A 14,835-nucleotide genomic window follows, 5' to 3' on the forward strand; every position below is an offset into this window, starting at 1 on the left:
AGGTGAACAATTTCTATTTTATCCTCTACAAAATTATTGCACTTTGAAAACAGATTTCATTTATCAATACTTTCGGTACTCAACTGCAATATTTTTTCTAGAGTTATAGTCCCAACAATTTTAAGTCATAAGTTAAAGCACCATTTTTTGGCTTGAGTATGTATTTGTTGAAAAATTTGGCCGGGCGTGGTGGCTCACACCTGTAATCCCAGCACTTTGGGAGGCTGAGGCAGGCGGATCATGAGGTCAGGAGATCAGGACCATCCTCGCTAACATGGTGAAATCCCGTCTCCACTAAAAACACAAAAAAAATTAGCCGGGCGTGGTGGCGGGCACCTGTAGTCCCAGCTACTCGGGAGGCTGAGGCAAGAGAATGGCGTGAACCTGGGAGGCGGAGCTTGCAGTGAGCCAAGATCGCACCACTGCACTCCAGTCTGGGTGACAGAGCGAGACTCCGTCTCAAAAAAAAAAAAAGAAAAAGAAAAAATTTATGCAAAGGGAGATTTATTTTGGGATAAAGTAAAAGGGAATGTTTAAAGAGAAATTTCTATAATATTTAGATTCAAATAGTGGATATTTTTCAAAAAACAAAATTAATAAATTACATGGAGATGGTTTTATTTCACTACAAGAGTGATGTAGGGAGAGATTTCTAAGAAGAAATCCCCTTGGACAACATTGGGGAACCCCACATCACTTTTCCCCATCTCCTCTCAATTAGCCACCACGCCTGGCTAATTTTTTTTTTGTATTTATACATTTTTATTTTGGTATGTAAGAGAGATACCTGACAAAAGTAACCTGAATTAAACTTTCCATTTAAACTTCCTCTGTGTCTTTATGTTGAGTCAGGCACTGTATTTAGATAACTGTAAATTATTTATCAAGTATGAATGGAGGTCACTCACCCTAATAGTTAAACAGACTGGATTTACATAAATGTGGGGCAATCTTGGTAGGGGTGGTCAGCAAGGCCTCTGTCGGGAGGGAGCACCTGGGCAACGAAGACATAGGGAAGAACTTTGTAGGAAAAGGGGGTAGAACTGACAATAGCCCTGAAGGGGGCATGAGTCTGGTGGGCGTGAGGACCATGCAGAGGCCAGAGTGGCCTGAACTCAGTGAACGATGGCCAGAGTGGTAAATGAGTGAAGGGTACCAGGGGTCTGAGAATGGAGGGGTTTTCCCCACAGTAAGAGTTTCATTTCAATATAAAAGTTCAGAGGCAGCCTGCAGGGAACATAGTAAAGCAGGAAGACCAGGTGGGAGGCTGTGACAGTCATTCAAGGGTGAGAATGGTGACAGCTGGACCAGGGGAGTAGTGGAGGGGGGGATGGAGAGATGGGCTCGAGTCCAGGACCTGTGCTGCTGCCAGAGACCGAGAGACTCACTGAGGCCTGCGGGTGCCAGAGAAAAGGGGAGTCAGGATGAGGACAAGGAGTCCACTGTGAGCATCTCCCTGAGGGGTGGTGTCCTTTGCTGGAACAGAGAGGGATGGCAAAGGACGGGCATCTGGATGATAAATTGGAATAAATGTTTGGGAGGAGACTTGGGAACAGGACCTTTTGACACTAGAGTAGAAATACCAAGTGCTCAGATGGACATAGGTGGAGAACTTGGAGGAGCAATCACAGCATCAGCAAGGAACGTGGAGGATCATTGGGGCGTGAAGTTACTATTACACAGAAGTCCAAGTCCTGGGCAGATTCCAAGGGGTGAATGAAATGAGTCTGCTAGTGACCAGAACCCTCCTCAGGTCTCCCAGTAGCCACAATACCACAAAAAGCCTCAAGAGTGACCTCCCCAAGTCTGTTCCCATTAGGGGACTTGAGTTGTGCAGAATCCGTATAAGACAGCCTCCACCAAACACGTGTCTATGCAGGTCCACGTGCCATGTACATACGTACGACTGATGAAGATCCCCTCCTTGACCAAGCTCTAGCCAGGCTTCCCTGAGCCCCCTTTTCAACTAGGCCTCCACCTTGGCCTATGAAATCTGCAGACTTCAGCAAAAAGGATCGGGTCCATCCTTCCCCCTATATCAAAACGCTTAAACACACAGTTTCTTTTTCTTTCTTTTTTTTTGAGACGGAGTTTCGCTCTGTCGCCCCGGCTGGAATACATTGGTGCGATCTCAGCTCACTGCAACCTCCGCCTCCTGGGTTAAGCAATTCTCTGCCTCAAGCCTCCCAAGTAGCTGGGACTACAGGCACTCACCACGATGCCCAGCTAATTTTTTGTATTTTTAGTAGAGACGGGGTTTCACCATCTTGACCAGGCTGATCTTGAATTCCTGACCCCGTGATGCACCTGCCTCGGCCTCCCAAAGTGTTGGGGTTACAGGCGTGAGCCACAGCGCCCGGCCTAAACACATAGTTTTTAACTGCTCAAAGCTGCATCCATAGGATGACCCCAGACCCCCTAAAGTATCTTCCTGGGAAAGCTGCCAAAAGAACTCACTGTTGGCTATTGCCAACACCTTACAAGCAGCCCCTGATGTCCCTTTCTTAAAGAGTTAACAACAACAACAAAAAACTAAACAATTGTGAATCCTTCCTCTGTCTCTCTGGGATGTAATGTCTCCTACACATCAGGAGTATCCTTCTCAAGAACCTGAAAGCCATTCCTCCAACATGCAATCACCAGGAAGCAAAGGGCCTATCTCCCAGTTACTGTGGGAGGATAGGACCCTGACTCCCATAACAGCCATCTAACAGGCACTGTCGCCTAACCTTACTTACACTGACCCACCCTTCACAAGTTTCACTTTCCTGACTACTGAGTTCCTGCTCATCCCCTTCACATTCCCTCCTCCTCCCTCTTAAACACCTAGTCACTTCTGCACAAAGTTCAGTTCCGTTCACGAGGTACCTTCTTCCCTATTACAATAGTATATTATTAAAATCTGCTTTACCACTTTTACTAGTGTCTAGCTTTATCTTCTACAGTTAATACAAATATACGCACATACACATGCATATATATGCACACATAATAATATATACATACACACATACACGTATATATACATCTATATGTGTATTCTTAATGAATGTTATGTCTTCTCTAATCGTTTGGAAGATATTATCAAGTATTTCTTTGCAGTTTTCCTATGATCTCTGCGTTTCTTTTCTGTTCCTTTGGTCCCTTGCTTCGGTGTGTGTTTTCTTTCCATCTTTTATGCTAGAGGAAGTCCGCAAGCAACAAGTGGTCCTCGGCTCCCACTCCTATGTATGTATGTAGTAGGAAGGAAGCCGCTGAGTGCAGCTGTGCGCGCCGGGGCGGTGCCTGTGCCTCTCTGGATTCCGTGTTTCTTCGGGGGTGCTGAGCAGCGGTGCTTCCGCGTCCGCGTTCTCCGGGTAGCTGATGTGCTGCAGGCTGCAGCCCGCGTGGTCGCGGCTCAGGTCCGTGTTGGGCTGGTAGGACTCCAGCGGGGAGCGAGCATTCCTCCGGAACCTGGGGCTGGACGACAGCAGCAGGAGGCGTGCTCCCATCTCCGGTAGTCCCCGGCTCCCGCTGCTCCCCTTTCTCCCCGGCCTCGGGCGCTGGCGGGCGCGGGCGAGGGGGTAGCGCAGGGGAGGCCCGCCCGCCACGGCAGGGGGCGGAAACCGCGGCCGGGCTCGGGGTCAGCGGCGACGAGCGGGCGGCTGCCCCGCTCGCCCTCGGCCTCCGCGCCCGCCCGCCGCTCCGCAGCGGAGGAGCCCTCAGGTTTGCGTTACTGCGGCCGCCACACCTACCTCAGCCCGCCGCGGCCAGGTCGGGCGGTGCCGCGCAGGCCGCCTCCCCCCCTCGCTTCCCAGTCGGCTTACGCATCCCCGGCGGCGGCGGCGCCGGCATCGGCTAGAGGTTCGGCTCAAGTCGGGGGCACTCGTGTCTGCGCCGAGCGGCGGGCGTGAGCGCGGCCCCTGGGCCCCGCGCGGCGCGGTGCTGCGAGGAGGATCCTCGTGGCCTTGCCCCGCCGGCGGCTTTCCAGAATTTTCTACGATTACGAAGTTTTGGCATTCAACCCTCCATCCTCTCAAACGCCCCACTGTTACTCCGCCCCCTTCCCCTAGGCCCCGCCCCCAGCCGCAGTGCCCTGCCTCTTCCATCCGTCTCCAGCCTCCTCCACGGCCCCGCCCCCTCAGGCCGGTCCGTCTCCCCTCCCACCTCACACCTCCGCCCCGCCCGTCAGCCCTGGCTCCGCCCAGCCACGGGGCTCGCCGCCACAGGCCCCGCCTCCAGCTCGCGGCCCCGCGCGCCGGATCGGCGTGCGTGCGGCTGGAGCCTTAAGCGTTTCCCCCGCCCGGCTTCATCCCTGCTGGCGGCCCAGCGTCGTTCTCCTCCTGCGCGAGGCGGCCAAGGCCTGCTGGCCCGGAGCCGCGCCTCCACCCGCGCGAGGTAGGGCTTCGAGGACCGGCGCGGCGCAGGTCTCCGGAGGCCTCCCGAGAGGGGCTAGGGTCGCCGGGCCGCGCGTGGGAGCGGGTGGGGCCCGGGAGGAGACGGCGCCCCGGAGGGGAGTGCGAGGCCTGGGCCGACGGTTACGGGCGCCGACCGGCGTTGCCTGGCCTGAACGCCCGGCCTTTCGGTGGAGGGCAGCTTGCCCCTGTATGTTGCGCCCTTCCGTGGGTCAGACCGGCGGCAAGGTGAGGCGGCGGCGGCAGCAGCAGCCGCCTTGGGCTCCTGGACGCGCTCCCGAGGTGGGGCGGGTTGGGGAGTGGGGATTGGAGCGTGATGGCTGGACGTCGCCTTCTCGGCGCGGCAGGTCCCGGGAGACGGGGGGACGAGGCGCAGTCCCGCCCTCGGGAGAGCGGAGCCACCTTCACTGAGGGCGCCCGGTTTGGCCCCGGAAAGGCAGGAAGGGGGCGGGGAAGGGATGGCGAGCTCGGGGTGCACCGCCTGTTTCTTTTCTGGTTAGGTATCGTCCTTGGAGAAGATGGAAGCGGAGAGGCGGCCGGCGCCGGGCTCGCCCTCCGAGGGCCTGTTTGCGGACGGGCACCTGATCTTGTGGACGCTGTGCTCGGTCCTGCTGCCGGTGTTCATCACCTTCTGGTGTAGCCTCCAGCGGTCGCGCCGGCAGCTGCACCGCAGGGACATCTTCCGCAAGAGCAAGCACGGGTGGCGCGACACGGACCTGTTCAGCCAGCCCACCTACTGCTGCGTGTGCGCGCAGCACATTCTGCAGGGCGCCTTCTGCGACTGCTGCGGGCTCCGCGTGGACGAGGGCTGCCTCAGGAAGGCCGACAAGCGCTTCCAGTGCAAGGAGATTATGCTCAAGAATGACACCAAGGTCCTGGACGCCATGCCCCACCACTGGATCCGGGGCAACGTGCCCCTGTGCAGTTACTGTATGGTTTGCAAGCAGCAGTGTGGCTGTCAACCCAAGCTTTGCGATTACAGGTATGGTCTTCGTGGACACTCACTGTCCCAGAATGCGCCGTGGGAATCAGGATTTCATAGAGTGGTGTAGAGGCCTGCTTTAATCTCTGCTGATGACCTAAACTCATTTTGAGGAAACAAGCTAATAAATAAACATCCCTGAGTTTGTGCAAGCGTGGCAGCTTTGCAGTAGTCATTTGCTGAGACGATGCATCCAGCCTCCACTCCTCAGCCAGCCTGCCCTTTTGGGTAATAAAACTTGGCTCCTAACGTTAATACAGAGGTTTCTAAGTGGTGCCTGCTTCATGGCCACTGTATATTTTAGCTTTTGTTCCTATCGATTATCTCCTTATTTTAAATAAGGAAAAATGAAATATGGACAAATTAACTTTTCCCTTCAGCCGCAAAACTGATGGGTCACAGGTTTTGTACTATGAATGTGCAGTGAAAACAAGTGTCATTCCAAGGCAGCACTTTTATGTCTTTTGCTAATATAGCTGTTGGTACCATAGCGAAATATACTCAAAAAGAACACTGAAAGGAATATTCCTTTTGACGCTTGGTCTTTCAGGACATGTAGAATCTTAGATAAGTGACCTTGATTAAGCCAAGAATATTTTAATGTCTTTTATATACACACTGGACAACACATTTTTGTCCTTAAATATTGTTTGAAAATAGGTGAAGATGTCCTTTGCTGATGTTGGAAATTGGTAAAGGAGAATGCTGCTTTGCAAATGATCTATTCTAACTCAGTTCACAGTTGAGAAAATTAAAGCCCGTTAGGTCCACTCTGGTAAAATAGGACTGGCCTCCAGGATTTCCAGCTCTGGACTAACACTTAGCCTCCTTTGAGCCTTAAGTCTGGACATCTTCATTGTAATGGGTTTTATTTCTGACAAGTAGAAAGGCGCATAAACATGCTTAAGAAATGAAATAGGCAGTAAATAGGAAGCTGCTTTTTAATTTTTTTAATTTTTTTTGCAGAAATTCTTTCATTAGCATGAACGCTATTATAATGTCAATACCTGTTTTTAAGTCTTATTTTAAATAATTTTACACATTATCAAAGAGGCTTAAGAATAAATGTTCAAAATAATGTATTCTAGACAACTACAAAGTTTTGTAACCATGCATTTTTATTTGGTATCTTTAAAAATTAAATGCTGTCCTTCTGGCATCAGTGAGAGCCAAGTTAGCAGGGACTTTAAATAAATTTCATAATGAATTGAGTATTGTTCTATTTCCTTCCCTTCTCTGGTGTAGCCTCCAGCAGTCTGTGTCTGTGCAGAATTATATTAAAAATGGTTTCCATAAATAACCGTATTTCAAATACTCTTGAACACATAATCATGCTTCTGATCCTCCACCCAAATGATCTTTCTAAAAATGCAAATCTGATCAAGTCCCTGCTCTGCTTAAAATCCTTTAAATTGCTCCCCATCGGGTAAGCTGACTGTTTTACAGTGTAAACCCCTAAGTGCTTTTTCACAGGGTACATAAGGTCCTAGTACTTTCTGGCCTCTGTCCTTTTAGTTTTATCTACCACCACCTGCATTAAACTTTATGCACCAGCAACACTAAGCTTCTTGTAATTTCCTTAAAACGTCAGGCATTTTCTGACATTTCTGCCCCTTTGCTCAAAGCTTTCCTCTCAGTATTCTTCTGGCTAGCTTCTAGGCACCCTTAAAGACCCATCCCATGTCCTTGTCCTTTCCTTCAGGAACTCTTACCTGATCTACTCAGCTTCCCTCCTCCCCCAGTTTTTCCTTTTTGGTGATAACGTAATATCCTATATCTCAGTGGTTCTCAAAGTAAGGTCCCTAGACCAGCAGCATCAGCATCTCTTCAAAATCTGTTAGAAATGCAAATTCTAGGGTTGCTAGATTTAGCAGATAAAAATAAAATATTGCAGAATTTGGAACATAAAAAGTTTCTCTGAAATTCAAATTCAACTAGGCATTGCCGTTTTTTTGTTTTTTTTTTCTGGCAACCCTAGCCCAACCCCAGACCTACTAAATCAGAAACTTGGGCTGGACATCAGCAGTCTTGGTTTTAACAGGCCCTACAGGTCCTTCTAAAGATGGAGAACCACTGCTATATTTACATATCTTTAAAAACATGCACCTCCGTCTCTTAATTTTGTATCCTCCCATTGAGCACACTGAATCTGTGTGATAATAAATCTTCTTTTCTTCATTAGTGCATTTTTACAGAGTAACCCCTTACCCCATGATAGAAATTGTCTCTGTGTAATTTAGGAGATGTTTATTATTCCCAAGAGAAGAGACCACAGTGTCCTGAAGTTGTACATATTCTACAGTGTTCTGAACTGATTTATGTTGGCCAATAATTGTATACAGGATTACAGTCTCCTGTGACCTTCTGTAGGAATGAGATATTTTGGAAGGAGAAACAAAATAAATAGCTACTTAGAACCTTTAAACACAGACCAGACAGTCCTCTGGATTTTATCTAGCCCTGAGGAGAGCTCCTTCCCTGTCTGCATCTCATTCTTAGGGAAGTGAGTGAACTCTGCAGACAAGTTACATTTCAAAGGACACTAATGAGAGATGATGACTGAGTTTAAAGCCTGCAGAATAAGTGAGAAAGGCCCTTTAATTTATACTCATTCGATCATTATACTTATTGAGCATCTATTTTTGTTCTAGACACTGCTAGAGTCTACTTTGTCTGTAGATTTTTTCTTTTTGTGTGCTCCTGTTTCTACCCCCAACCACTACATCTTCTTTTTCTTCTTCTTATCTCTCCTCTGACTAAAATAGGGAATTAGGTTATATTTTTACATATTCAATATATTTATTAAATGAACCTTTGTTTCTTGTAGTGTTCTATCTCATTAAGAGAAAAAGAACTTAAAGTGCTTTTTAATTTATTGGACTTTTTATTCATTACATCTACCCCACGCCTCACACACAATTACTGTGATTAGTAAAACAAAGCTGCTGACTCTCAGAAGGCAGTTAGATTGGCCTCAGTGTAACTAGTCTCAGCTTTGATCATAAATTTTGTTTCTATATTCTATTGGTGTGTGTTTATTCATTTCATTAATTATCTGAAACAGTGAAAGATACCAAATCATCTTCTAGAGCAGAGGTGGGCAAACTTACTGTAAAGAGCCAAAAGAATTTTCGGCTTTCCCAACCATTTCGTCTGTCATAATTACTTAACTCTGCCATAGTTGCAGTGCAAAACCAGCCATGGACAATACATAAATGAATGAGCTTACCTGTGTTCCAGTAAAACTTCATTCACAAAATCAGATGGCAGACATATTTGCAGTTTGCAGAACCCTGTTCTAGTGAATCTTATAAATGACCATCTCAACTTTATGTATAATTCAGCTGCCTCCTTCAGCACACTAAAAAAGAGAGCTATTGTGACCAGGTAATTTTTTAGAGAAAACAAGCCTTGTTAAACCTTTTTTTTTTCTATAAATACTACTGCACAAGAACGGCATATAAATTCATGAGGCATTCCATATTTTCATATGAAGGAACTTTCTAGAGTAATGTTCTATATCTTGATAAGGGTTTTAGTTACGTATGTTCATTTATCAAAACTCAGGAAGTATATACGTACATTTCATTGTATGTAAATTTTACATGAAAAGGAAAAAACATCATGAATTCTAGGTAGTGATAAGCCTATTTGCTGATGTATTCAGGAAGTATTCTGATGTCTTCAGTTTACTTGGAAATGTACTAAAAATAAGATGAATTAATGGATAGAAATGTGACAAAGCAATTACAGTAAGATGTTAATGGTAGAATGTAGGTGGTAGGCATACCTGTAAAAAATATTTTTAAGTAAAATATTTTAAAAAGCAAGTAAACTATTCTTGCTTTTAGAATATATTTGCTAAAATATTGAAGGGTGAGATCTCATACTGTCTGCAGTTTACTTTCAAATGATCAAAAAAATATGAATTTATATGGAAAGAGAATATTGTGGGAGAAAATGTCATTAAGAATCAGCGTGAAGGGTGGGCTTAGGGTATTCATTTTGCTATCCTTTTGACTTCTCTGAAAGTTTGGAATTTTTCAAAATAAAAAGAAAAAAGATGATAAGCTGTTACCCAATGACATGATGCTAAAGCTGAAATACCAAGACATTTTAGTAATGTCTTATCTTCCCAGTGAGTTTGAAATCTAGGTTGTTAAATACCAATTACAACATAGGTAAAGACAATAGGATTCAGGTTTGAATATGGTATTTCTAAAGAAGAATGTAATACTGAGTAATTAGTAAGCATTTTATTTTATTTTGTTTTTTGAGACAGGGTCTTACTCTATATTGCCTAGGCTGGAAGACGGTGGCAAGATTATGGCTTACTGCAGCCTTAGCCTCCCAGGTTCAAGCAATCCTCCCACCTCAGCCTTCCAAGTAGCTGGGACTACAGACATGCACCACCATGCCTGATATTTTTTTTTTCTTTTTTGTAGAGATAGGAGTATCACCATATTGCCCAGGCTGGTCTCAAATTCCTGGGCTCAAGCAATCCTCGCATCTTGGCCTCCCAAAGTGCTGGGATTGCAGGCGTAAGCCACCATGCCTGGCCCTAGTAAGCATTTTAGCTGTACCTTTATAGAGCAAAGGCTCATAATAGCTATTATCTTGGTTAAAATAATCTTTTCTGGGCTGAGCGCAGTGGCTCATGCCTGTAATCCCAGCACTTTGGGAGGCCAAGGCGGGCAGAGTTCGAGACCAGCCTGACCAATATGGAGAAACCCCATCTCTACTAAAAGTACAAAATTAGCCGAGTGTGGTGGCGCATGCCTGTAATCCCAGCTACTCGGGAGGCTGAGGCAGGAGAATTGCTTGAACCCAGGAGGCGGAGGTTGCTGTGAGCCGAGATCGCGCCATTGCACTCCAGTCTGGGCAACAAGAGCGAAACTCCATCTCAAAAAATAATAGTAATAATAATAATCTTTTCTGAAATTTATGAGAATTTAATAAATGATAAGTGTTCTGTCACAAATTATTGGGGGTAGAAAAGATGGTTTTATGAATCGTGTTAGGACAAGTGCTCTTGGGGGAGGGGAGAAGGTTAACTCTTCATAATACGCCAGATTTATTATGGGTAGATTAATGCAGTAGTTTGTTTTGTTGTTGTTGTTGTTGTTGTTGTTTTTTGAGACAGTCTCACTCTGTCGCTCAGGTTGCAGTGCAGTGACATGATCTCGGCTCACTGCTACCTCTACCTCCCAGGCTCAAGTGATTCACCCGCCTCAGCCTCCCGAGTAGCTGGGATTACAGGCATGCACCACCACACCTGGCCAATTATTTTTTATATTTTCAGGAGAGACAGGGTTTCACCATGTTACTCAGGCTGGTCTCAAACTTCTGACCTCAGGTGATCCGCCCGCCTGGCCTCCCAAATCCTGGGATTATACGCATGCCCCACTGCGTCCAGCCAATACAGAGGATGGAAAAGCCCGACACTTCCATGAGATTCTGAATGGAATCTATAGCCCCAGAAGGTTAAGAAGCACTGAATTAAAGATGTAACTATGACAACTGAACTGGGAGGGGGGGGAATAACTATAGGTGAATATCTAGGAGATGGTAAAAGACTTCAAAGCATAACAGCATTTAATTAGGTGCCTGTAGCCTAGCTACTCAGGAGACTGAGGCAGGATCACTTGAGCCCAGGAGTTCAGGCCAGTGTGAGCAACATAGTGAGACACTGTCTCTTAAAAAAAAATTTTTGGCCAGACTCGGTGGCTCACACCTGTAATCCCAGCACTTTGGGAGGCCGAGGCAGACTGATGAGGTCGGGAGTTTTTGAGACCAGCCTGACCGATATGGTGAAACCCCGTCTCTACTAAAAATACAAAAATTAGCTGGGCGTGGTAGCATGCACCTGTAGTCCCAGCTGCTCAGGAGGCTGAGGCAGGAGAATCACTTGAACCCAGTATGTGGAGGTTGCAGTGAGCCGAGATTGCACCACTGCACTCCAAGCCTAGGCGACAGAGTGATACTCTGTCTCAAAAAAAAAAAAAAATTTTTTTTAAATGAAACAGCATTTAAGCCAACTACAAACGGAAATACATATCTGTATATATATTTTTAAAAACTTAAGTAGATTAAAAAGACAATTTTAAAGAACACTGAAGCATGTTTGCAATAAATATGCCAGAAAAAAGGTTGATATTCTAGTTAAATAAAATTACATGCAATTATTAAAACCTAGTGAAAGATGAATATGGAACATGACTGAATTCACAAAAGGGGGCTGAAAAACTCAGTTTTACCTACTAATCAGACTTCCAGATTAAAACAATAGGATACCTTTTTCTATCAAATTATCAAAGAAAAATTAAGTACTAATGAGCGGTATTAATAAGTGTTAGTTATGATGGGCACTTTCATGCACTCGTAACAAGCATATTGGACAAACATCCAGAACCTTGGGAAAATGCATGCCCTTTGATTCAGTAACTTCTGAGATTGCAAAGAAATAATCTCATTCATTTACCCATGTTATTTATATTTTCAAAAATAAACTAAATGTCTTTTTTAAAAAACAGAAAAGGGGTCAGGTTTTTTTTGTTTTGTTTTGTTTTGTTTTTTGAGATGAAATCTCACTCTGATGCCCAGGCTGGAGTGCAGCAGCACCCTTTCCCGGGTTCAAGTGATCCTCCCACCTCAGCCTCACTAGAGCTGGGACTACAGGCACACGTTACCACGCCAAGCTAATTTTTGTTCATTTTTCTTGTTTTTTGGGACAGGGTCAGATAAATTATACGATATTGACATGATGTAATAATATACATTCTTTACAAACCATGTTTTAAAAAAATTGATATACAAAAAAGTTTATGATACAATGTAGAAAAGCATTATCCAGATATATATACATCATACTTCTAAGCTGAAAAACAAACGTATACACTATAAAACTGAGAATAAATAAGTCAAAAAGTTAAGAGTGACTCTCTGGATGATTTTTATTTTATGCCTTTTTGTATTTTTAAATTTTTATAAGCTAGTATTTAAAATAATTTTTAAAATTTATACAAGTAGTTCATGTTTATATTCTGGTTTTTAGGATCTCAAGGAATACATACAAAAAAAACATAGCCTAAAAACTTAATATTCTTCCCATTCCTCAGTCCTACTTTTCTTCCCAGAGGAAACCATTATGAAATAATTCAGTGGGTATCCTTTCTGATTGCTTTTGATGGTGATATACTATTTTAAAGTTATGGTAGACCAATAAATAAAGATATTATACTTCAGCCACATAACCAGTCTATTATAGTTTCTCAAGTTGAGTTTAAAATTAACAAATGTGATTATGCAAATTATTTCAGTTTTCTCTGTAACAGATTATGCAGAGAACTCTTGCTTTTAGCAGTAAATAGGACTCGAGTATACAGCACTAAGTACTTGACAAATCTGAATATCCAAAAGGAAAAAACAGCTTAAAATAGAAGGTCACCAGAGGACCTCTGGGTGAAAGAATGTTTATCCTCTTTTCTTTTTTATATTCATTTAATTATAACCATTCTTTTCTGGTGGCCTGCTTTATCTCTTCAGTCAGATCTGCCTTATCTGTGAGTGGATTAAATACTTAGCAAATTAATAATAGAAACCCAGGACCTTTACCAGCTCTGTTCTCTGCTTGTTTTACCAATTGGGTCCAAACATAGTTGCAAATCTGAATGCACATGTTCTTACGTCTATTTCAAAAGCAAGCATATGAATTATTTTCGTATTAACTGACAAAAAGAAATGCACGGTTGTACTTACATTTACAGGTTAAGAGATTTTCAAGCTGGACCCTCAGGAACTCTTCAAGGGTCCATGTCAGTGGGGCATTTAAACAGCAAGGACTTTAGGCCTCATGAACCTACATTTCAGCCAAAGCACAAATATATATAAAACTATCATTTTAGATCAGCTTTTGTTTATGTGGATCATATCTATTGATATTTACCATGTCATAAATTAAAACTGATAAATTTTTTAAATATTTTTAAAATAATAGTTACAAATGGTTTTTATGAAAATTTAGTGAGGAGAGTTACATTGTTTTAAATTTTTGCACATTTCTTTCACTTATTATTCAGCTAGAGTATCATATTTGCTTCTATTGTCATAGCACATGTCATAAAGCTTCTGGAAAATTCCACTGTACGCTTTTGAGAGGTTGAGGGTGAAATAACTCTTTAGTGTTATTATTAAAATTTTAACCTCACAGATGCCCTGAATGGATCTTGGGGCCCACATTTTAAGAAATGCTGTTAGGCGGGGCACAGTGGCTCACTCCAGCAATCCCAGCACTTATGGGAGGCCGAGGTGGGTGGATCATTTGAGGTCTGGAGGTCAAGACCAGCCTGGTCAACGTAGTGAAACCCCATCTCTACTAAGAATATAAAAATTACCCAGGCGGTAGTAGCACGAACTTGTAATCCCAGCTACTTGGGAGACTAGGCAGAAGAATCACTTGATCCTGGGAGGCAGAGGTTGCGGTGAGCTGAGATCATGCCACTGCACTCCAGTCTGGTGGACAGAGTGAGACCCTGTCTCAAAAAAAAAAAAAAAAAGTGCTGTTAGATTAAACTGCCAAATATGTTCAAACCTTATTGCTCCATTTCACTGTGCAGATAGTGCATATATTTTATTTGCCAAATGTTATGGTAAGTAGTGATAAAATTATGTTTTATTTTTTAACAAAAATGATTGTTTTGTGGGTTATCATTGAGATTATGGTTTAAAATTAGTTAATGCTTGTTTCTTCCTTCCCTCAGGTGCATTTGGTGCCAGAAAACAGTACATGATGAGTGCATGAAAAATAGTTTAAAGAATGAAAAATGTGATTTTGGAGAATTCAAAAACCTAATCATTCCACCAAGTTATTTAACATCCATTAATCAGATGCGTAAAGACAAAAAAACAGATTATGAAGTGGTAATTAGAGTTTATTTCTCTAATATGATTGATTTTTAAAAAGCTGCTTAACTCATTGTTTGAGATAGTTAAGACAGTATGTAAGAAGAATTGGTGCCAGGAATAAAATAAACTTAAATAACAGATCAAGACCAAGGAGAGAAATAAAATGCTATTATGGTAAGCCATAAAATCCTACCTAGTTCCTAGAGATGGGTCAAAAATTTTGGCTCTTGAGTTCTTTCATGTCTAAAAGGAAATTGGAAATGTTATATTAGTGGTTTCCAAATCATTGCCTGCATCTGAATGATTTAGGGAGCTTTTTAAAAATACAGATTTCTGAGTAGTACCTTCATTGCCATATTTGATTTAGTAGGTATAGGGTAAGTCCAGGAATTCATCTTTTTTTTTAAGGTCCTCAGAAGATTCTGATGAACAGTCAGTTTTGGGATTCATGATTATTGTCAGTGAAAAGAAAATAGATTTTCCTCACACCTTTTTCTAAAACTATTTTTCTATTTTGAACTTTATACAGGGTCCCTAGAGATAAGTTTATGTTGC

The 14,835-nt window shown here is 43.6% G+C and overlaps 2 protein-coding genes and 1 long non-coding RNA gene across 11 annotated transcripts in view, besides 7 other annotated features; 1 reads left to right on the top strand and 2 right to left on the bottom strand.

Annotated features, from left to right (window-relative positions):
* The window catches only part of C17orf67 (chromosome 17 open reading frame 67), a 42,008-nt gene extending 37,971 nt beyond the window's left edge, over positions 1 to 4,037 (bottom strand). Inside the window, exons 1-2 of the mRNA NM_001085430.4 lie at positions 3,735 to 4,037; positions 3,015 to 3,459 (exon numbers count right to left, since the gene is read on the bottom strand). The gene's annotated coding sequence lies outside the window, so the exon portion shown is untranslated. The remainder of the gene's footprint in view (positions 1 to 3,014; positions 3,460 to 3,734) is intronic.
* Positions 3,265 to 3,559: a silencer, noted in NCBI's record as "tiled region #13836; K562 Repressive non-DNase unmatched - State 1:Tss". NCBI's record gives its function as "represses a minimal TATA promoter and a strong SV40 promoter by Sharpr-MPRA in K562 cells {active_cell/tissue: K562}" and the evidence as "EXISTENCE:reporter gene assay evidence [ECO:0000049][PMID:27701403]".
* Positions 3,533 to 4,602: a silencer, noted in NCBI's record as "silent region_8740". NCBI's record gives its function as "represses an Ori minimal core promoter by ATAC-STARR-seq in GM12878 lymphoblastoid cells {active_cell/tissue: GM12878}" and the evidence as "EXISTENCE:reporter gene assay evidence [ECO:0000049][PMID:35858748]".
* Positions 3,927 to 4,524: an enhancer, noted in NCBI's record as "H3K27ac hESC enhancer chr17:54911171-54911768 (GRCh37/hg19 assembly coordinates)". NCBI's record gives its function as "activates a minimal SCP1, AML or CMV promoter by ChIP-STARR-seq in naive H9 embryonic stem cells {active_cell/tissue: H9 hESC(naive)}" and the evidence as "EXISTENCE:reporter gene assay evidence [ECO:0000049][PMID:30033119]".
* The window catches only part of DGKE (diacylglycerol kinase epsilon), a 35,417-nt gene continuing 24,849 nt past the window's right edge, over positions 4,268 to 14,835 (top strand). For 6 of the 9 annotated variants that reach the window (XR_002958079.2, XM_047436959.1, XM_011525394.4 and 3 more), the window contains exons 1-3: positions 4,268 to 4,622; positions 4,895 to 5,376; positions 14,136 to 14,295. Coding sequence is in view for 8 of the 9 variants with exons in the window: in XM_047436959.1 (XP_047292915.1) it covers positions 4,587 to 4,622; positions 4,895 to 5,376; positions 14,136 to 14,295 (678 nt within the window). In the remaining variant the exon portion in view is untranslated. Of the gene's footprint in view, positions 4,623 to 4,894; positions 5,377 to 13,938; positions 14,025 to 14,135; positions 14,296 to 14,835 lie in introns of those variants that run through there. The other 3 variants (XM_017025243.3, NM_003647.3, XM_047436960.1) reach the window with 2 other exon arrangements.
* Positions 4,993 to 5,392: an enhancer, noted in NCBI's record as "active region_12418". NCBI's record gives its function as "activates an Ori minimal core promoter by ATAC-STARR-seq in GM12878 lymphoblastoid cells {active_cell/tissue: GM12878}" and the evidence as "EXISTENCE:reporter gene assay evidence [ECO:0000049][PMID:35858748]".
* Positions 4,993 to 5,721: a biological region, named in NCBI's record as "H3K4me1 hESC enhancer GRCh37_chr17:54912368-54912965".
* Positions 5,124 to 5,721: an enhancer, noted in NCBI's record as "H3K4me1 hESC enhancer chr17:54912368-54912965 (GRCh37/hg19 assembly coordinates)". NCBI's record gives its function as "activates a minimal SCP1, AML or CMV promoter by ChIP-STARR-seq in naive H9 embryonic stem cells {active_cell/tissue: H9 hESC(naive)}" and the evidence as "EXISTENCE:reporter gene assay evidence [ECO:0000049][PMID:30033119]".
* Positions 6,477 to 13,891, bottom strand: LOC124904036 (uncharacterized). Its single transcript, XR_007065857.1, has 3 exons — positions 13,770 to 13,891; positions 13,135 to 13,234; positions 6,477 to 8,737 (listed from the first exon to the last, which is right to left on the bottom strand). It is a non-coding gene; the product is annotated as an uncharacterized LOC124904036 (long non-coding RNA).
* Positions 7,612 to 8,167: an enhancer, noted in NCBI's record as "NANOG hESC enhancer chr17:54914856-54915411 (GRCh37/hg19 assembly coordinates)". NCBI's record gives its function as "activates a minimal SCP1, AML or CMV promoter by ChIP-STARR-seq in naive H9 embryonic stem cells {active_cell/tissue: H9 hESC(naive)}" and the evidence as "EXISTENCE:reporter gene assay evidence [ECO:0000049][PMID:30033119]".

The sequence above is a fragment of the Homo sapiens genome, chromosome 17, assembly GCF_000001405.40.
Source record: "Homo sapiens chromosome 17, GRCh38.p14 Primary Assembly".
NCBI classification, from domain to species: domain Eukaryota; kingdom Metazoa; phylum Chordata; class Mammalia; order Primates; family Hominidae; genus Homo; species Homo sapiens.